Source organism: Homo sapiens, chromosome 2 (assembly GCF_000001405.40).
Source record: "Homo sapiens chromosome 2, GRCh38.p14 Primary Assembly".
Taxonomy (NCBI): domain Eukaryota; kingdom Metazoa; phylum Chordata; class Mammalia; order Primates; family Hominidae; genus Homo; species Homo sapiens.
Genome location: NC_000002.12, coordinates 140,486,899 through 140,510,295, shown reverse-complemented (window position 1 = coordinate 140,510,295; position 23,397 = coordinate 140,486,899). Strand labels below are relative to the sequence as shown.

Here is a 23,397-nt window from a genome sequence, read left to right as displayed (position 1 = left end):
TTTTCTACCATGTAGCTTTAAGAAATATAACAATTATAGCTAGGAAAGAATGCCTTCTTAGATAAAAATGTGTGGACAACTACAGGGGAAGAATGATGTTTAATGATTCCCAATAACTACAATCGCCTCCTTATAAGCAACATTCTTCTGCTTCCCCCCTTACTGTAGAAAATGTAAATGGTAGACATTTTCCAGTGGACACAGAGTAATCTTAATGGCATTATGTTTTTGTGTTTCAGGTGCCATAACCTGTGCTGCTGACATGTTCAGCTGCCAGGGCTCTCGTGCCTGCGTGCCCCGACATTGGCTTTGTGATGGTGAAAGGGACTGTCCAGATGGAAGCGATGAGCTTTCCACAGCAGGCTGCGGTATGAACACTGGCCAGGGCTGCATGTCAAAGAAAACTGTTGCAGCATCCTTGGTTATTTGTTTTTGTAGTATTTGCCATAGCACATTTCCCATTGCTTTCCTAGTTCCTGGGCCCATAGGTAGTATTGGACTTAATCAGGTGGGATGACGGTATCACAGTAGTTCTGCAACCTCTTTAACTACTGTTCAATGTTTCAAACATGCACAGTCGGATTACCCATTTTAAAACCACTTTGATAAACACAGATTTATCATTTCACTTCTCAGCTAATGTAACTGCACTTTATGTGTACGAGTGCAGTAGGTTTGGTACTTTCTCTTTTGCGTCGTCCACCACCATCCTTCTGAAGGCTTTTAGATTGTCTGTTACAGAGACTCTGTGAATGACTTCTCTGATCCTAAATAACTACTGATCAGGAGGTCAGTAAACACCTATTAGTCCTATGGATAGGGTATTAACCCTTGGGTCATGTAAAAATAGTATGGATATAGCCGAATGAAGCTGAGGGATCAGAGGAGCACCTTCGGAGGTCAGACAATTTACTAAGTTTCTGACTCTAAGTCACCTCAGGAAATTTTCAGGGCATTACTCAACAGTAAAAATTTAGATGAATTCCTTTGCATGATCAGGAGGATAAAGGGACTGAATATTTGAATGCAGATCCCAAGGTCACATAGGGGATCCTTTGGGCTGAGCAATTTGTCAGAAATAATGCTGCGAACTCCGCTTGTTAAAATGAGTTCTGTCAGTCATCTCTCCAATGGCCTGCCTTCACATCTTTAAAGCATTGTATTTGAAGCCATAATATAAGTGTCTGTGTGTGTGTGTGTGTGTGTGTGTGTTTGTGTGTGTGTGTGTGTGTGCAGGGGTATGTACGTGAGGAATAGTTAAAGTAGAAAAGAAAAAAGAAAACTTCGAGGCAGACCTATTTGCACAGAACTCATACTATTGTTGTAGAATAATTCACTTTGATCTTGAAACTGATATGTGTGTCTGTAAAGGTCAATGAGGCCACTGAGGGCTACATAATAAAGGATTATGCATCAATTCAGGGATCCAGATGGTCCCAGTATGCTGTTGCTATTGTAGCAAGTTAACACTCTGGGAGGCATATTAACACGTTTGTACCACAAGGGTACTATTAAGTACATTCCGTTAAAATGCAGCAAATTGTACTCAAGTGATCTGAAAGTGTTAAAGCCAAATAAGTCACTGTTGCTCAGTGTTTTAAAGATTAATCCATGTATCGGAATTGGTGTAATTCACCTGAGTTATCCAAGCTGGCATACAGTTCAAATTTAAGAGGAGTTAGTAAAATCAGAGTTTTACTCTGATTACAACAGGCAATTGTTCATGCTACTTCTATGTGGCTTCTATACAGCTTTAAAAAAATCTTTGTTAAAAGTAAATTATGCCTGATTATATTTTAAAAACCCTTATGTGTTACCTACACTATGTCAATAATTTCTGAGATAAAGGGAGAGATTTATTTGTTCATGGAGCCTGGGGCAGTCTGGGGAGAGGGGGCTATAGGCAATGTGAAAGAATAATGATAATACCTGTATCTTAAGTGTTAAAGTGATGTGTATAAAATATACTATGTCAATCACAAAGAAATATTATGTAAAATATCCTACTAATATGTAAAATGCCTCAGGAAATGATTTCAAGAAAAAGTGATAATATTATCTGAGTCTTGAGGGACAAAGAAAGAGAAAGGTGTTTCATGTAGAGAAAAGTGCTTATTAAGACATGGAATTGGGAAATAGAAGGCACCTAAGTTTTTCAAGTACCCATTACATATCAATTATTGTAATTGTTGCTGTTATTTGCATTATTGAATTCCCACAATATTGTAGTGAACTGTTTTGAGGAATCTGCCAAAAATAATTATTATATAAATAGGAGTTTAAAGAGCACCTAGACATGTATTAAATACTTAAAATGAGCCAAATCTGCTTCACATACATTATCTAGCCCTTATAAGAAATGTATCAGATACATTTTATTATCCCCATTAAACAGATAAAGAAACAGATGCACCAAGAAGGTAAATTGCTTCCTTAAGGATACAAATATAAGTGCCACAGCCACTTTCTGCAAAGTCTTTCTCTTTCCAGCATTCTACAATAGCATATAGCGGATTATTGCTATTTGCAATACCCCAAACCTTGAGTCCTACATGGCATTTACCTTTTAAATATATGCAAAGATTACTGAAAATATTTAAATGAGTCTTGCAAACCTCTTATGATTCTATGCGTATGGTATTAATTTTTTCTTTCTCTGCACTAGTTATGTTCTTTTGAATTTTTGCTGAAATTTTGATCACTTGGATCAACCATTTTTTCCACTTGTTGGAACATTGCTTTCATGGATCAATATTCCTAAAGGGTCAATATTCCATTTCATTTGTGTGGTACTTACGGAGGGGCTGATGACATCAAAGATCTTACCTTTACCTAATTGGACACCCCACTCTAGAAGTCACCAAAAAGTTTTATTTTATTTTTTTAAAGACAATAACATTCTAAACCTTCTTAGTTTTCTTTTCACTTCCTTTATGAACATTAGCATTGCTCTTTACCAGTCTATTTTTCACAAGGAAACAACATTTTTATTACTTTACCAGCATTACTGTAGGCATAAGTAAAGGAAAAAAGCCTAGAATATTATTAGCTGAGATATTTTTTCTAACATGTGAACATTTGAATTCATCCTTCAGCAAATTTAAAATCGCTACATGGCTTGAATTCAGGGTCACTCTGGAATAGTTGAATTCATGAATACTAAATCCTTGAATTATGTGTATTTATATTCAGACATTCTAATATAAATACATATGCAATTATTAGCTTATCTGATGTATTGAATATTATGCAAAGTTTTCTTTTTCTCAGTAACTATGAATTATTGGATATGATTTTATATATTCCCCAAGCTCCTAATATAGGGGAAGATAACATATGTGCTCATCTAACTTTATTTTTTGTGATGCCTTTCTTAGCTCCCAATAATACATGTGATGAAAATGCTTTCATGTGCCATAATAAAGTATGCATTCCCAAGCAATTTGTTTGTGACCATGATGACGACTGTGGAGATGGCTCTGATGAGTCACCGCAGTGTGGTAAGTACATCTAAAACTTCATGAAGGAGATTCCTAGGCTAAGAGTCTTTCAAAACTAGTATGTAAATAAAAAACTAAAGCAACAAGCAACACATTTCTTAGTGTCATCAACACCCAGTGAATTCAGTAATACACAATCACAGCACATATAACTTATTTAAGCTCTAGTATAATACATTTCTTTGGAAATCATACCTGTTTGCAGTATATTTGCATCAGTAATATTGGAAAATGTTTATAAAAATGTCTTTGGGCTGGGTGCGGTGGCTCATGCCTGTAGTCCTAGCACTTCGGGAGGCTGAGGCGGGTGGATCACCTGAGGTCAGGAGTTCGAGACCAGCCTGGCCAACATGGGGAAACCCCATCTCTACTAAAAATACAAAAATTCGTCAGGCATGGTGGCCATGCCTGTAATCCCAGCTACTCGGGAGCCTGAGGCAGGAGAATTGCTTGTACCCAGGAAGTAGAGGTCGCAGTGAGCCGAGATCATGCCACTGCACTCCAGCCTGGGTGACAGAGTGAGACTCCATCTCAAAATAAATACATAAATAAATAAATTAAAATTAAAATTAAAAATGTCTTTGGTTTAACGTATTTTGAAATACTTGAAATTTGAAGACAGTATATGGCTGGCTTGTTCAGTTGTATAGCCAAATCAAATATTTGAGTAAAAAAAACATAATTCAGAATTATCAGAAAAGCCGGATACTTAATATTTTTCTACCCTTTATGTTTTGATGTATTCAATGATTTGATAAAATTTAATATTATTATCATGAAATGTATATTGCCTTTACATATATTTTTCTATGTTATATATAATATCTATACAACCTACAACTTTAATGATAGCATCAATATATTAAAAATGCTCAGTTGAAGTTTAACTGTAATGTGAACTTAATGTTTTCGTAAAATATCTGAATGCATAGACAAGAATAAATATATGTAATGAAAAGCTGTGAACTTTATATATGCTCATAGAAGGCAACAGATTTAGTGCCTGCCTTTGTTCTCCCTGTGCAGCGTCTATAGCCTTGGCCTTTGATATGAATCTCACTGAAATTAGTGGATATCAGTTTTTATGATTATTTCAGCGTGAAGTCTTACATTTGATGTGATATTTTAAAGGCTACATCATAACACAAGATATAAATCTGAAGCAGAGTTATATCTGATTGAATATCTCCCCTCTGCTAGACATTATATTTGGTTGATACAGAGATGAATGAGACAGAGAGGCCCCACTTGGAAAAGTCACAGATGAATGGAAAAAACAGAAATTCAATATAGTACAATAACATATTATGTCAAATAGAAACAAGAATCACAATGAGATCAGAGCTGAGAAGAATCGTTCTTGAGGTAGGCACTGAAGAATAGAAGCAGGGAATGTTAGTAAGAGGAAATCCTGTGTAATGCTAGAGAGCGTGGTGTGTGGTGGTTAATAGCATGAACTCCAGAGCTGGAGAGCCTGGGTTCAAGTCCTGGATCTTCTGTTTACTAGCTATGTGACCTTGAAAAGGTCACTTCACTTCCCTGGGCCTCGGTTTTCCATCTGTAAAGTATGTTTAATAAAAAGGCTTAAATGTTAGGACTGTTCAGAGAATTAAATGAATTTATATTTGTAAAGTTCTTAGAGCAGTTTCAGGAACAGTAAATTCTATATGTGTTTACAAAGACTGTAAATTGAGATGGTCGAGGAATAGCAATTAGTCTTCTGTTAGGTAAGTGGACATTTAAAAAGATGAAGTTAGATTTGAAAAAGGCTGAAATAAAGTGTTAGAGAATTTGTATTTAATTATTTTGTCTCTCAGAGGCCAGTGTACATTTTGAAACAAGAGAATGAAATGTTACAGTCACATTTTTGTTTTGGAACCATATTTTTTCACCAGAGTGGGAGAAATACTGCCATGGAGCAAAGGAGCCATAGAGGGAAATAAACTAGTTAGGGGGTTATTGTGATAGTTCTGATGATTAATGACGTGGTTTTGAACGAGGTTGGGAATGGTGGAGTGGAAGGTACAGAATGTGTCAGACTTCATTTACAGTAGGACATGGAGGATAAAAGGGAATTTCTAGCTTGGATGACTTGGTGATTGGTGCTGCTGTTAATGAATGTTGGGATACAAGAGGTTAAGGGTTAATTTTGTCAATAAGATGTGAGATGTAATAAAGACTTTATTGTGGATCTTTTGAATATGAGGTGTTAATCAGACAATCACATAAAGCTATATAGTGACTGTGTGATAATTTAATTCTAGATCAGAAGAACAACGAGGATAAGTAATATTAATTTTCTACCCATCAGCCTAAAGCTGGCAGGAAAATAAAGACTGAAGATTGAAGTTAGGGCTTTCCTGGCAATATTTTAGAATGGAACAGGAGAGGATTTCATACAGAAGGAAAAGAAGGGAACAGCAAGATCAAAGTTGGAAAGAAGTCCAGGAAGGTAGACTGTGAATATTATTAAGTCAGGAAACTCTTTCTAAGGTAGTGTGGTCAGAAACATAAAATGTTGCTAAAAGGTGAAGTAAATAGGAGGACAAGATCCAGAATTTGACACTTAGCACTTGGTGTTTGTTATCTCTAAGAGGAGTTTCAGAAGATAGAGGTCAGAGAAATGAAATGTTGATTGATCAGAGATGAACTGCAGGCAAGTAAGTGGAAGCCAGATTGGGCAATAAAGAGACAAGAAATGTGCTGATAAGAGGTGTATAGATTTTTATTGTTATTGGACTGGATAAGACTTCACTGTATTTGTTAAATGAGAAGAAGGAACTAATGAAGGAGGAGAGAGAGCGAAGAAATACTAGGGTAGCTAAGGCTATTTTAGAACTATCTAGTTTAACCATTCCAATATGATAATAATTTAAATTAAATATTCATTATTGAGTATATTTTCCGTTGGAATTGTGTTTATTTCTTAAGCCATAAAAATCTTACCCCCTCCCACTTAAAACAGAGCATTTACCCATATTTATCAGAAAGTTCTACTAGGAATAACTGTTTTTATAGTTGACAAACTTAGAAAAAATTCTTATAAAACAATGTTGAAAATCAAATAAGTTGTATTTACAAATAGGCATAGATATGAACTTTTACCAAATGATGTTTTTTCTGTAATTTGAATAAAGTTTTTAGTGACTCTAAGAATCAAGATGTAGGATAATTATAATAGTTTTTGTGCTTATTGCTCTAAAATTGACTTTTAAATTTTTCTCATTTTAACAATGTTTTTACACTTTGAGTGCTGCTTTCTAAACATAAACATGATATCAGAGCTTCTGAGAATTATCGTTATAGCTCAGAATCAGTTTATCCATATGTTCTGGTACTATACCTAACCAAGCTAATTCTAATAGCTTTCACTTTCATTTTCCATTCTAAGAGATATTATGATCTAGATAATAGGTGAAGAGAAATGGTATAGTCAAGGGTCACTTTCTTATTTCTTCACCTTGAAATAATAAGAATGTTAGTTTCCAACTTGAGTTTTTGGACCATATTCCTACTTCCAAACCACAAACATCTCTTGCAACTATAACCACTGTTACAGAAAGAAATGAGAAATATTTCTCATGGGAGACATGAGTAATCCACATTAATCCGGTGTAGTGTACATTGAGGAGATGACGTTTCAATTAGTATTTGTTATGTGAATTAGTCAAATGTTTTTTCTGCGTCTCTAGGATATCGACAGTGTGGTACAGAAGAATTTAGTTGTGCTGATGGGCGGTGTCTTCTAAATACTCAATGGCAGTGTGATGGAGACTTTGACTGTCCTGACCATTCTGATGAAGCACCTTTAAACCCAAAGTGTAAAAGTGCAGGTACAGAAATATATACAATACCGCATTTACTCTAAAGTGTTTTCAATGGAAAAATTGTGATTTTCTGTCTAGTATAGTATTCAATGAGAGAAAATGCAAATTATTAAGCATGTGATGTTTCTAGTGACACCATGCAGGGTACTAGTAATTGACTCTGTGAGAAGCTAGTTTTGGAAATTTAAGTCTGTGCCAAAAATATAAAGATTTGAGGCAGTGGTACTGCTGAATTCACCATCCTGTCTTCCCCACTGCCAAAAATTCATTATATCTTCATATATTATTTTATATAAGAATAATTTCACTGTATTGGCCTATTTGAAAATTCAAATGCAAAAAAGTTAAAATTTACTGTGAAGTAGTCTGTATTATTCATAATTAGGCAAGATGAAACATTGCATATCATTTGAATATACATATATTAAAAACTTGGTCTGTTTATCACTTCTCTATTCCAAATGCTAAATATATAATCACATATTACAGAATATACTCAAATAATTTTTTTCTCATGGACTTTACATGATAATGGGCTTTCTTTTAGCATGTATGATGGTGAGTATTGTTCAAGTCATCCAGCTATTTTCCATAGCTGTATTTGGAACAGCTATTATTCACCACTGATATCTGTTTTATACCCTGACTTCAAAATGTCAATGTTATATTTCCAGGAAGAAAAGAATTTAGGAATATCTACCTATTCTAGATTCTTAGTTTTTAGTGACATATAATTTCTCAGAGACCTATGGCTTGAGGGAATTGTCAAACTATCATTAAACTTTTGAACTCATTCTTCACAAAATAGAGGAGGCAGAAATAGTTCATTAATTTTACTATGGATGTTTATTTTGATAATTAATTTTCATGATCAAGCTATATTTGCAATAAGTATTGAACATGAAAGTACAGTTTGCCCTTGGTTTTCTGAACTTTAGGTGTAAGATATTATACTGAATATGTAAAAGATTTTATATAAACTTATATTATGATTTTTGACACCTGAGTTAATGATATTTGTGAATGTTTTCAACAACTGTAGTATAAAACAATGGCATGCCCTTTATGTTCCATTTGTTTTATTTTTTTTCCAGAACAGTCATGCAACAGTTCATTTTTTATGTGCAAAAATGGCAGGTGCATTCCCAGTGGAGGTCTTTGCGACAATAAGGATGACTGTGGCGATGGTTCAGATGAGAGAAACTGCCATATAAATGAATGTTTGAGTAAGAAAGTCAGTGGATGTTCTCAAGACTGTCAAGACCTTCCGGTCAGTTATAAGGTAGGTACTCATCAAAAGTAGCAAATCATACGATACATTAGAATTGGAGGTTAAGAAAGCTATTTAATCCAATATAGATGAAAAAGTTAAAAGCCATCATAATATTAAAACGAATTGAATGGAGAGTGTCGATATGAAGATACCATAATAGTAGTGTGATATAAAAGTTGTGAGAATATAGTTAAGAAGACAAAAATAAAATTGAAGCATTTTTCTACATTTTTGGAGCATAAAGGAAATAAATAAACCAGGGAAGACTAGTGATCAGAGACAATACTGCTATGTTAATAGCTGTATAAATACGTATTTAACTCTTAAGTTTCCATTTCTTCCCTCATTCTCTCTTCAGTACATCTTCGAAGTGGAATGGGCTAATCATTTACTACAACACTGGATAATGGAATATTTTTCATACAAACATAAAATCCATAAACTGTGGATTATTAGGACATAAAAAATCCATAAACTATGAATTATTAGGACTTAGTGTGAATACACTAAAATAAACCATATGTAATATCCTAATTGTTGATTGTAAGTACCATTTCCCTGAAGAGGGTGATTCGCTGACAGAATCGATGGACAGAAATAGCTTCTAAAACCAACTCTGTTTCAGTATGTTGGAATGACGGACAAAACTAACACAATGTTGAAATGCAACGTTGTGTATTAGGTTAAAATCAATTTTGTAAATGTGGAAAAACCTCAATAAGAGCAATTCCTTTGAAAATTAGTGTGTTTAATGGAGCAACAACTCTGTATGAATCTTCAATAGGACATAACTAGTATAAACAACACAGGCAGTCTAATGAAAATTAGGACCATTACAGGGTTTAAATTTTGTTCTACCGAGTTCTGCCCGGGGGTACTGCGCACATGTATGGACACAGCATTTTATCAAGGGAAACCATGACGAATTGGAGTGTATCCAAATTTCTATATCCAGAAGCATTAGAGTCTGGAGCACATCTTCAGAAGAAGTTTTGCTTAGAGCAAAGACGATTTGCTAGCTGTATTCACATACTGTATATGAAGGATTCTAATAGGGAACATACTTAATCTGAGTTGCTTAAAAGATCGGAATTAAGAGTTGGAAAGCAGTTTCTGTTCAATACAAGGCAGAAGTTTCTAATGATAGAACACTTCATATTGGAATGAACCACCTCACACATCACCAATGAAAGTGTTTCTGCAGTGGCTAAATGACTTTCTTTAAAGGATGGTAGACAATTGTTGTATGGCAAAGATGTGGGGCCATTGTTCCTGCCAGCCTTAGCATGCTATGACAAGCCAGTTCTATCTAACAGTAAATTCAACTAAACAACCAATTTGCTGTTTTTAAGTTCTGAATTTCTGGTATTATTAACTTAGCTACATGGTTAGGTTGGTTAGGATTTTACTGTATATAGACATAATCTAAGAACCACAATAATAAATTCCTGCAAAAATTAGAGATTAAAAACTGAAACACCAAGAAATATATATTTTTAAAAGTTTTTTAGACCCAATATTGTATTAAGAAGTGGTTAAACTTGTAAACTTAGAATATGAACTCATTCATAAACAATATATTACAGGCAGAAAGAAAGAAAGCAAGTGAGCCAGTACATCTTTTAATGAGATGAGCATGCATCAGATAATTAATGTTGGCAGTAAATATTTTAAAAACCAGTGAAGCAGAAAAGAAATGTTATTGATCACTTGTGTACAATTAACATAGAAATCTTTCCTGAATTCATCAGGGAATGTGTTTTAGAATGATTGCAGGTAACTAATTAAAATTTTAAGTCATACCATTACAAATAATTATTTAGTTCTATCATATATACAGTTATGTACCACATAATGATGTATTGGTCAACAATGTGCTGCTTATACAGTGGTGTTCCTATAGAATTATTTTTACTGTACCTTTTCTAAACATTTTTAAATATTTTTTAAACGTTTCTAAATATTTTTACTGTACCTTTTCTAAACATATGGTGAGAGATGTTTAGATACACAAATACTTAGCATTGTGTTACAATTGCCTACAGCATTCAATATAGTAACATGCTGTACAGGTTTGTAACCTAGGAACAATATGCTCTACCATATAACCTAGGTGCATGATGGCCTGTACCATATAGGTTTGTTTAAATACGCTCTATGATGTTCACACAATGACAAATCACCTAACAGAGTATTTCTCAGAACATATCCCTGTCATTAACTGATGCATGGCTGAGTGTGTCTGTGTGTGTGTATATGTGTGTGTGTGTGTTTGTTCTATGTGATACATTTCAAAGTAGATTTATTTGTGTTTATTCCATGTGTATTTAATGTCTATGATAACAAACTTGGTAGTAAATTATAAAACCTATAGAATATCAATTATATACTTTGTGACATGACATCAAAAATAAGGTTAGATGTTATTTTAAATGCCTGCATATAAGAAGTATTAGCACACAGCCATACCATATTTGGAAACTGCTTTTGGTAGAAGACAATATCATCCAGAAACACATGTTAATTCATGCTTATTTTAAGTATCTTGAAACATTCCTCACACATAAATACTTGTTTATTAATACTTTATAAATGCCAGTGTTTTCATTTTGTCTTCTCAAGAAGCCGTAGAAAGAAGTGATAATTCTAGTTAAAATAGACAAAAGTATTTAATCCTTCACAAGGTGTGCGCATATGTTATCAGACAGAATTGCTATGATGTTTTTAAGTATGTAAACATGTAAAAGCTAGTTAATAATATAAAACACCTATTGATGGAAATATGACTTGTACAAACATTCAGGATGAGACCAGAATCATAAATAAAAGATTTAAGCAAAGGTTCAGACCAAATATTTTACATATTGCATTCATATTTATGTATATGTATATACATACACATGTATATATTATGCACACAAATATATGTCATATATATGACAATTTGTTGATAGGAAACTGAGTAAAAAGCTTTATGTACAACAAGATGCTTCTACCACGTTGCAAAATTACGTGAGCTGATAGATTTCTCTGTTTCAGAGAATGGTGAAAACTATCCAGCAGCCTACTTCTCCTTGTAATATAAGCAGACCATGACAGGAAATCGTCCTCTAAATTCTGCAATAAAACGAGAATTGCTTACAAAAGCAAAATTTAGACCTTATGGACTGTGGCCAATTTGCATGTTTGCAGTAAAACAAATAGAATGTATCTAACTATTCAAAAGGGAGTAATAACATTTAACTGAAGCAAAAATCTTATTTTGATAGGAAGGATAATTTACCATGTAAAAATAAATGTACTTCTGGGAGGGAAAAAAGTGATGATGTATACAGTAGAAATAAAATGATCAATATTTGTCATGTTACTTGAAAAGCTGCAAAGGAATTTTCCTGAGAGAAATAGAAAAGGCTTAGTTATTTTTTCTGCCAGCTATATTTTCTTATAAAAATTAATGTAACTCAAGAAGATTCTAAATAATTTGGAATGGTGAGAAAAATTAAGATGAGGCTGAATACATATAATTCTCACTTTCATAAAAATTGTCTTTTTTAAGTGAAAGAGAACATTCTAATCTTATTTTCTATAAAATGTCTTTGAAAATGCAAAAGATTATTATTTTCTTCCATTGAATTTATGAAAGTTAATGAGTAGAATTTCCTGCAGATGTCTTTTTATTATTTGAGACCAAAAATATTTTTATTAAAATAGATTAACAGATTGAGAAATACATTTTCTTTTTACACATGTTATTTCAAACAAAATAAAATTTTAAAAAATTTACTGTAAATCTTAAACTTTTGTTGATACAGGTTTATATTATAGTAACATTAATCAATTTTACCTTCCAGAAATTAATTTTCCATTGTGTGTTTTTATCCAAGCCATCTATTTCATATAGTACTTCTTCTATAAACCTGACATGAGGCATTCAAAGTGATTTTCAGAAACCCCATTAAAATGGTGATGCACTTTGTTTCATTTAATAATACTGTTTTAGAGGAATTCAACACATTCTATAAAATTTCCTTTCATTTGTCCTAAAGTGACTCTTGATTCAACACTGCTCTGTATCTACTAATTGGACCTCTGGCTTCCGACTACACAATCACTTGGCTTAATTTTTAGGCCAATCTGGGATTACTACCCTGTCAAATTTCTCATTTTCTTTTTTTTTAAATATTTATTTTAACAAAATTGAATAAAAAGATATAATATAAAATTCATCATTTTAACCATTTTTTTATGTGTACAGTTAATGGCATTAAGTATGCCCATTTTCTTTGGCCATAGTTAAGTACCAATTCCTCCTGGTGGCAGGATGGATCTTCTCAAGGAAAGTAATATTGTCACTCAGTGAGATATAATGAAGGGAGTTTGGGAAATCAAGCTCTGACTTTTGCCTTCATTTTAATCCACTGGATTGCTAAGTGGGTTATAGAGATTTTAAAAGTCCATTATAATTTCTGAGCATTATTAGATAAATTGCTGGTGTCAAATGTTAAACATGAAAGTGCCAAGAGCTTAAAGGGTTTCATTTCTTGTAAACAGAATTGGGAAAAATAATGATTTATCCTTTAATTAATTTCAGATGAAATTGATGTTACTTGGATGCTTTCCTCCCCAGTATTGAAAATGTTTCTTGTACTTAAAAATAATTCTAACCATAAATTGTTTCCTGATTTTTTATTAATATGGACATATATCATTCTAATAGCTTTATCAATAAATTCAAAGCTCTGCCATCAGTTTTATCTGATAATAAATAAATAAATAAATAAATAAATAAATAAATAAATAAATTTTATCCAAATTATGAAATATTTACTATGGAGTGCTCTTGAATACTAGTTACTTTTGACAACTCAGAAATCCTTCTTAACTCACATCCTACTCAATACTTACAATTTCCTTTATTCGAAGACAACTAATCAGTCTGTGATCATAATCATCTGGCCAAGTATAGGTTCATTTTCTGTAATAATAATTCTCACATGCTACCTGGCAGGGACTGAGAACAGAACTGAGAGACAATGACCAATCAAAGTACCTCATCGTTTTTAGGAAGGCAAAAAATACACGTGGCATAATGTTTGTAGCCTATGAGTTGACATACCAGTTAGTTAATATCATGTGTCATCAGAAGGACAAATAAAACATCATAGAGATGCTGAAGGAAAGAGATATGATACAAATTGTTTTAGTTATTAAGATAAAAAACATCTACATTAATATTACTGTTTATTCGGACACCTACATATCTAGGTATGGAATCAAACACAGTCAATAAATATTAATTGAGGATTACTATGTATTAAAAATTTCAGTGTGTACAAGATCTCCTACTGGCCTTATCTAAACAGCTCCATCTTCATGCTATTGGATTTCTCATCTACTAACTAAAGATAATATTAGATTGGTACAAAAGTAATTGTGATTCTTGCCATTAAAGGTAATTGCAAAAGCCACAATTACTTTTGTACCAACCTAATAATATCTACATTAGAGATTTCTATACTGCTCAAATGAAATAACATATGTGACAATGTTAAAAATTTTCAAAACTCCATGTAAGGATTAATTCTTATAGTTGCTAAAATATTCTAAAAAGACAATGTAATGCAATAGAAAAATAAGAAAAGAAGTAGAAAGTTTCACTCTTTTTTTATTTGCCTTGCCAATCTCTAACCACACGGCCTTAGCAATGTCAATTAACTTTTACAATCTTGCCAACTTCAAAAGATCAAATGAAGATATTTGGGAGAGTGCTTTCTAACTAACTTTACATAATATACATAATTCCCATCAAAGGTCAAATGCTGGGAGACAGAAAGACTTGCCTTTATCTATTTTCAAATGCTTTTCTTGCTTAATGCTAAAGAGATATCCAAAAGTAAAAGACAGTGACAATGATATGAATTGATTATGCTCATTTTTCTTTTCCCAGTGCAAATGCTGGCCTGGATTCCAACTGAAGGATGACGGCAAAACATGTGTAGACATTGATGAATGCTCTTCAGGCTTTCCCTGTAGCCAGCAATGCATCAATACATACGGGACTTACAAGTGCCTCTGTACAGATGGGTATGAAATACAACCTGATAACCCAAATGGCTGCAAATCGCTCTCAGGTATCGAATTGAACTTGCCCACTGATCCAACCTCAGTTATACATATGGATCCTGAATTTTATAGCCGTTCTTATTGAATTCACTCCTCCTTGATGCTTCTGAAAAATCAAAATTCTTCTCTACTTCCCTTGATATGAGAATCTGTCACTCTGATTTTGTATGCTCTGTTCATAATAACATTGCCTTATGGCCTTGTGAATTATTGAGTGTTTTCTAGATTTTGAGAGTGCCCACAAAAAAAAAAAAAAAAAGAACTATCTCTAGCACTGCTTCCTGCTGAATCACATGTTCTTGGGAGCAAGTTTGGCTAAAACTGTTAAAGAGACTATTGTGACATTATTATAATATTTTTCATTCTCCCCTCCACCATACATACATACATATATGCTAGAGAGAACAAGTTAACAATAAGAAGAAGCAACAATAGTAATAATAAATCAGCTATATAGGACTATTTGAATTCTTCCAGTGATTCAGCAAATATTGTTAAACTTCTTTTTATTCCAAGGAGTGTATTTGATCCTGTAAATTATACATTTAATAAAGCATGGCCCATAACTTTAATTCTTTAGGAGAGAAATCACAGATATTAAAATGATACAAAGCAATAATATGATGATGACTGTTAAATGGGCAAAAAAATGGTGACTAAGGGCATCTCTATTCCGCTTGTTTTTAAGTATAATAAGTCAAATATTATTGCCAGTTTCTTATATAATAGATGTTCGTCAGTGGCAACATTTAAAACATTAGCTGTTTTTTTCAACCACTTTAATAAAATAGCTATCAGAGATATTAATTTTAAAATATGGGTTTTTTTAATGGGTTAAAACTTTACACATTATGAAGAAAAAAAAATTAACTCCTTTCAATTTTTCATTCCACCATCACTTATCTTCCTTCCCTGAATCAATTTGAGGATTATTTGGAGACAATTTTTTTTTTTTTTTTTTTTTTTGAGACGGAGTCTCGCTCTGTCACCCAGGCTGGAGTGCAGTGGCGCGATCTTAGCTCGCTGCAAGCTCTGCCTCCCCCAGGTTCACACCATTCTCCCGCCTCAGCCTCCCAAGTAGCTGAGACTACAGGTGCCCGCCACCACACCCGGCTAATTTTGTTTTTGTATTTTCAGTAGAGATGGGGTTTCACCGTGTTCACCAGGATTGGAGCCCATTGTTTAATCTACCAATCTACTTGCTTCAGACCATCTTAATGCTTGCTACATAATGCATTTAGTGACCTGGGACAAAAAGAAGAGATTAAATCATACAAATGACCAATGTTTCCATTACTTTAAACATTAATAAAGGATTGTGTAGAGGAGATGAATAGTAACAATTAAAATATGGGTCTTGTTACATTATGTATCCACACCATAGTTGTTTATTATTAGCAATTATACTTAGAAACTCATACAAATTTTAAATATAAAAATGTGTTCTTAAAGCATTTATGCTTGTTAAAGCATAAATCTTGCACTACAGAGATTTTTTAAAAATGAAATATATTTAAGTTGTAAAGAACAGAATTGCCTAAGCAGTGAAGTAGAACATGACTGATTAATTTTATATTTATAATTGAGAAATCTATTGACAGAGTGGCAAGGCACCTTCAACTCGAGAGCCAATTCTGTGTTGAGAAGTATTCTGAGTCTCAGTCTGGCCTCAAAAAGAAGATGAGAATGACTAATTTGGGATCCCATCAAGGATGATAGAAGGGGGTATTTAACATGAGTGACATAGTATATACTGAAACATAATGTCATACCTTTGGTATTACATATTAATTACAAAACTAAAAGACAAGGGGAGAAAAATAATGATTTCAAACAATTTAAAAAGGACAATAACGGTATAACAATAAATAATTTATAAAAAATCCACATTCAATTATGTGATTACTTTTTTAGTGTTTTTTTTTCTAATTTCTATCAACATTACGTTTTTTCATTTGGCAAACAAGTTTATGAATGTGTCTTAAAAAAAAGATGTTAAAATGCTTGGGCAAATTATTCACCAAATGAATCTAGGATTATAACCACTGAGAATGTGGTCAAATTGACGTCAAATTATCCAGATACATATTTAAATAAATAGAAAAGAAAATCTTTCTGAAATTCTCTCCTTCAAGAAATCGTTTTGTTTCCAAATCAATTCTGAAGAGAAACCAAACACTAGTGGTTTAGAGGGTCTCCTGTACGTTGAGAATGCTCAGATCTTTATCACGCTCTTTCCCAGATTCTAAAGTAAATGAGATACTAAAAGACATTGGACAAGCTGATAAGGTAGAAATAAAGACTATTAAAGCATTAGAAAAAAAGACACATGAGGAAAGGTAAAATTAACAAACAAAGATTTTAGAACCTGGAGTTCAGAAATTATTTAAGACAAGTCCTCAGGCAGGTAAAAGGGTATATATATATGCAGTGATACTCTTGGTCTTCACTGAGGTCATCCTGAGAGCATTAGCCACTTGATTATCCAGAAAAAAATTTCTGATCATAAGAATGTTTTAGCTGTACTGTAGGTTTCTAAGAGAGGTGAAGATTATCTTTTTCTGCAATTCATGCAGACAATCAGATTGTAACAGCAGATATTTTCTACTAATTCCGAATAAATTATCTGAATGTCAAGAATATTGAGAGGAAGCAAGGGATGCACTTAGAATTTTCTAAATTTTCTGTACTGCCTGGGCGTGTGCTGCCTCTTCATTCTACTGCCAACTACGTTGCTCAGTATGATCCTTTTTAAACCCTGAAGCTACCAGATCAGCACTGCATTTGAAATCACATTGCTGCTAAACTAAACTGAAATTATGCAAAGGGGAAAAGCATACATACTTAAAGTCTAATATGTTATTTGTGTTGGTGTTTAGATGAAGAACCTTTTTTAATTCTTGCTGATCATCATGAGATAAGGAAAATTAGCACTGATGGCTCCAACTACACACTTTTAAAACAGGTATGACACTCCCAAGATGACACCGTAACATTTAACATGTGCACTAGGTATGTGTTAGAGCTGTAGAACTACCTGGCAATTAGAGTTTGTGAAGCATATTTTTAGTTGTCAGGAGAAATATTTTCTTTGAAAATATTTAGTTTGTATCTGTTCTGCTCCAAATTTATCTTTGCCTCAAACTGTGTAATAGTAACAGAAATATGCGAAAGCACTGTCTAGAACAAGTGTGCCAAAATTAAGGTTATTTCTCATTTTTCTAGTATGTTTATGCCAGTTTTAAGTATAAACGAAGACCACCATTCCTGTGGTGTATTTTCAGCAACATAAAGAAGATTTACTTTCCTAAAAATATTTTGTTACTCATTGATAGATTCCTCCACTGCTTTTTATAATAGTTTCGTTCATTTTTCTTCAGGATTTAGTCTCAAGTGTTAAATATTCACTAGCTAGTAGGATATTTACTCATCCTGACAGAGTTGGATTCTTTAGTCTTCCTCTATGTCACAGGTTAAAAATAAACACGTCAGATGAAAATCCAGATTTCTGGCTACTCAGGAAAAAAACAGAAAAGTTTATTAGGGCAGCACTCACATTCCTGATTGGTCAAAATCCAAGCTGTGTAGCAGCTGCTGCATTGATAGAGAGCCCTGCTCTCCAGTTCACCAGTGTTTTCAGACTTTCCTTGTGCTTAAGACATGTACACTCGCCTTATCCTGAATAGCCAGGAGGTTTACACCCTTGTTCTGAGTATGGAGTGTGCCACCAACATCCACCATATCACACTACTTCTTTCTTTAATTATAAATCTTACAAGACTGAGTAAAATATAAAATATTGTTATGTTGTTTATAAAAAACTAACAAAAATTTAATCAAAATATAAGAATGAACAACTATTTAAGACATAAATAACATAAGAGAAATACTTAAGGATAAAACGTACATATAACTGCTTCAAGAGGGAAAGTTTTTTGCTGCCCAAATAGTTTCCTAGTTTATCTAACTTGATTTAATATATTTTTTTCTGTATTTTTAAACTTTTTCCTATGCTTTTAAACTTATATCAAAATTATAAGATATTAAAAATTATCTTTCTTGGGATATGACTTCACAGCCCTTCTAAGTCTTTCTATAAATTCAAAGTTAGGTGCATCAGACACATATTTTCTAGTATAGTCTCTGGAACAAGGACATGCCTATTTTTTCACTAGGTTGTGTATATATATATAAGCTGTATATATATACACACACACACATATGTACATAACATTCTGACCATTTAGACTCCACTATCTCAGTTTAAAGGAATAAAGTTATCTCTTTAGAATATTTTTAAGCTCAGCTGAACCATAAGTTTAACTAATATAGAACAATATTCATTATCTTCATGACAGAGCTATAATAGAGCTTCAGTGATAGCTTCTTGCTTCATTTTCCTACCTTGTAGCTCAGTACATGTCTACCAGCATTCCTTTTGTTGTCTTTCACAGATAATGTGTTGTCAAAAATTGTTCTTAATGGAACAAAATGATTTTTTCCTCTATGCATCATTTAAGTCTATTTCACATAACAGAACTACTTTAATGCTCTTTTTTTAAAAAAACATTTTAAGATAGTTCTTTTCTCCTGGTGGTATCATTTTAGACTGTTGCCAGTCATTAGTACCTAAGTGGGGATGAGTTTCGGATACTTTCTTAGTGCAGTACATATGGGAATGAAGAAACAGTGAGGATGATGAAAACGTTCATGAAGGATCTGAACACACCTATGTCTTTGGAAAGCAATTGATAATGGTGCCCATTGAGTAAGGAAATAGAGACCCAAAGAACCCATGGCAAGCCTTCTGCCCAGTTTTGCCTATGGGCTGCTGGGAATATGTCATTTCTTTCAGGGAACATATTTTTACTCACAGTTTCATCACAGTGTTATAGAAATTTTAAAGGAGTTCTAGGCAGTAGAAACCATTATCTTTGTCCAGAGAGTCTGTCCACATATGCAGAATGAAATAGAACATAGAAGCAATTATCTCTGCACATTTTCTCACAGCCAAAATAAATGAAAAGACAATATCCTTGTCTTAACTATTTGGAACTTTTATGTGCAGCTGATTAGCAAGAATGATTGATTCTAATATCACAAATTTTATTCTCTTTGTTGTAGTCAGTAACAATCTCATAAAGTTTTATTGCATAAAATTATAACAACTGGTGGAGCTTTTTCTTGCCCTCTATATTCTACAACATAACTGTAGTAAGGTCAGCTATAACTTAAATTCATATACTATATTTAGAAACTGTACTTCAGTGACATACATTTTGGGAATGAAAATTAATCAAGTACCTTTCCAATATGTTCTCCAATTCAATTTGAACAGTGTCTTTATTCCAGTAAAATTGTGTGAGAAACAAAACACAATTTCCTAAATTAATCATCTCGAACCAAAGAGTGCAAGTCTTTAGCTACAGAAATGAAAGAAGCAAATAGGATTCTGATGAAACAAATTTTCATCTCTGAAACTACTGGGATGACTAGTTTTTAGACATTATTTTGACCATGCCCCTGGCTGTTTTAATGTTTCTTGCATATGATTCTGCAAAGAGACCATTGCACTGGGATTAAGGGTAAAGCTGTAGAAAAATGACCAGCTTGGCTAGATAGATATGTTGGAATTTAGAGCTTCCATTTTTCTGCATTTGCAGCTTTAATTTATTATAGTTGACTTACTAAATTTGGAATTGGAGTTTTATTATCTAAATTGATTATTGTAAAGAAGGAATAGGATAATTCTGCCATGACTGGGGATTGTGGGTAAATCTTTGCTCAAGTTAGAGACATGTTTCTCTCTGCTTTTTCCCTGCAAAGCTCTCTAATTTAGCCACCTGAATTGCCAAGCCATCACAGAATCCTAACTTATTTACATTATTGCTCTGGAGAGAAAAGCAGTTGAACAGAAGGGATATTGTAAACTACTATTGGAATGAATTTATTAAGCCCTCTACAAACTTGCCTGGAACACATTCAATTTATATTTTAGAACTTTGACTTACTTTGCATAGGCAACTTCCTACATATATATGGTTATGTGCATTTAGTTAAGGAGTTCTCCAGTTTTTAGGATGTAAATGGATATTTAATGAATCTTTTGAATCTGTGACTGAATATCAGTTACCCTTCTTTAGCACTTATAGTCATTATTCATGATTTATAGTGTTGTCAGTAGGAAAGATACTTGCATTTATTCATCTTGGCTTAGCAAGGAATTTGCACTGAGCTATATTATTGCCTTGTGTCTCTTGTTTATGACCTATGGCACGAGATTTTTGTGAGGTTAGGTTATTACAGGTTGTCTTTGTAATCTGGACCTCAAGAAAATGAGATTGCTCATTTTAAGCTAAATAAAAGCATAAAATTTGAACCTATGATTTTAACACTATTATTACTAAAATTTAGCCCTGCTGTGAGAAGGGAAAATAAGCAGTATTTGCCAGAACCTTCTCTTATTTGCTGCTATACATAGGACACCCTTAGTCTTGAATGCCCTTGGAAAAAAATATCTGAAGAGTAATCATTAGCCTTGGCTTGTCTCTTACAAAGAACTATTTAAATCTAAGTCAGTTTTATTATTATCATCAGATTCTGAATTTTGAGAGTAGATGTTGAAACTAAACTCAGACCTGAGATTTACTTTCCTCTTTCTCCCTCCTCCCGGCAACCAAGCTAAAACAAATAAAAAACCCCTGCCTCTCTGAAGATGCTTGTCTCTACCCATAAGACTACAGCTACTCATACATTTCCCTCTAAAACAATTTGAGACATAGCATCAACTTTACGGTGAATATTGATGTAAGCAAGCTCTCCACAGATATAAAAACATGGCAGAGATCTCTTGAGGTTTTGCCAAATGTCTATAACATTATTTTCTAATCAATAGAATGTATATATTAATAAATTACTCAGTCCTTAAGGTAGTAAATGTATAATCTTTAACAATAAGTCAGAATTAAACTAATTCCTAGGCAATCATTTGAATAATTCTGCAGCTAAAAGATTCCTAGATCCTGGATGTACAGTCCTCAAATCGAATCAAATGTGAGAACTGCCAAACCAAAAAGCTGTAGCATCCAGAAACCCATCAATTGAATTTGTGTTCTGTTTTGCTGCCTGCTAAAAAATGCATAACCATGAGTCTGAAGGGAGGCATTTCCTCACATTTCCACCATGTGGAATAAAAACATGTTGATTACCCAGTTCCTCCTTGGTCAAATACTCACCCAAGGTTGTAACTTTTAAATTCTAATATCACACTGTATTGCCAAGGGGCCATCTGAAGCAGGAAGAAAGGCAGCTCTTTTATATTGTTGTTGGGACAAGAGCTTTGGGGGAAAGTAAAATTTCTATACCTTCTCTTCTGACTCATCAGTTGGCTGTCCAGGGCTCATCTTAATCAGATGATCTACCTTTTCAATTTAGATATATGCTTTTTTCAGGCTCTTCCATGGAACAGACTATAATGACATAAAGTTTATATTTCATATTAACCTAAAGTGGAAATTCTAAACTTTATCTCCTTAAAAGAAGTTATTTTTATTTTCACGTTACTGGCTATTTATTTAAAACCATTGTAAATATTTTGAAATTTTGTGGCCTATGTGGAAAATATTTTCAAATTAATATAGTATTTTTTAAACATACGATGTAAGGAAAATGTGAATATATGATACTTTTAATGAGAACTGGTAGCAAATACTTTATTATAATAAATAGAACTATTTAGTTTCAAAGGAAGACAGTGATTCCTGTAAACTCCTAAAACATTTTATAATTATTTCTATGAACTATCATTGACAACATAGTCTTTTTTATTTTCAGGGATTAAACAATGTTATTGCTATAGACTTTGATTACAGAGAAGAATTCATCTATTGGATCGATTCTAGCCGACCCAATGGCAGTCGCATAAATAGAATGTGTTTAAATGGAAGTGACATTAAGGTAACTAAATATTACAATGATGGGATTGTTGAATATTATACCAGTATGATTGAATTGTATAGAAAATGTTATTTTATGACCATGATATTACTCATAAAATGCATTAGGGTGGTTTCAATTTCACATTTGTATAGTGTGATTAAAACTTTAAATATGAAAAATGAGACCTTTTATTCTTATGTTTCATTATAACACTATTACTTGCAATAACATAAACATCAAATTGAGTAAATAAAATATGGAACCTTATTCACAACCCTAGGAAATGGGATGGGTGCTTTCAGCTAGAAGGATTAGTGCCTGCAATTCAATTCTGTTGATTTAAATAAAAGAGAAAGTTGAGTCTAAAACTTTGTAATCGAAAAAGTTAAACATTACAGTGTGGATTGAAATTATGATATTGTTAAAACTGAACAATTACAGTTGTAAATAATTGAATTCATTTGTGTAAAATCATGAACGTCCTGATTGGAGAGGATCACATTTCTGTCACAGTTCTGTCATGTGTATGATCCATGTCATATTCTAGATATGAGCAACTTGGTACCATCTTTTGTTATTCTGAGTTTTAAAATCAAATTACTAATACTATATATACGCATTAAAACATATTATAAAGAAGTTTTAAATTCAAGTGAATGAAACCCATCAATTACTTTAACTTTTTTGTAGCCATCTATAATATCATACATAATTTCATTTTTGGTGAAAGCAATCC

The 23,397-nt window shown here is 32.9% G+C and overlaps 1 protein-coding gene across 4 annotated transcripts in view; it reads left to right on the top strand.

The window, feature by feature from the left end:
* The window catches only part of LRP1B (LDL receptor related protein 1B), a 1,899,594-nt gene that overhangs the window by 1,620,721 nt on the left and 255,476 nt on the right, over positions 1-23,397 (top strand). For all 4 annotated transcript variants that reach the window (NM_018557.3, XM_017004341.2, XM_017004342.1 and 1 more), the window contains 7 exons: positions 240-368; positions 3,378-3,500; positions 7,193-7,333; positions 8,422-8,609; positions 14,548-14,731; positions 17,603-17,688; positions 22,557-22,679. In NM_018557.3, coding sequence (NP_061027.2) covers positions 240-368; positions 3,378-3,500; positions 7,193-7,333; positions 8,422-8,609; positions 14,548-14,731; positions 17,603-17,688; positions 22,557-22,679 — 974 coding nt within the window. The remainder of the gene's footprint in view (positions 1-239; positions 369-3,377; positions 3,501-7,192; positions 7,334-8,421; positions 8,610-14,547; positions 14,732-17,602; positions 17,689-22,556; positions 22,680-23,397) is intronic.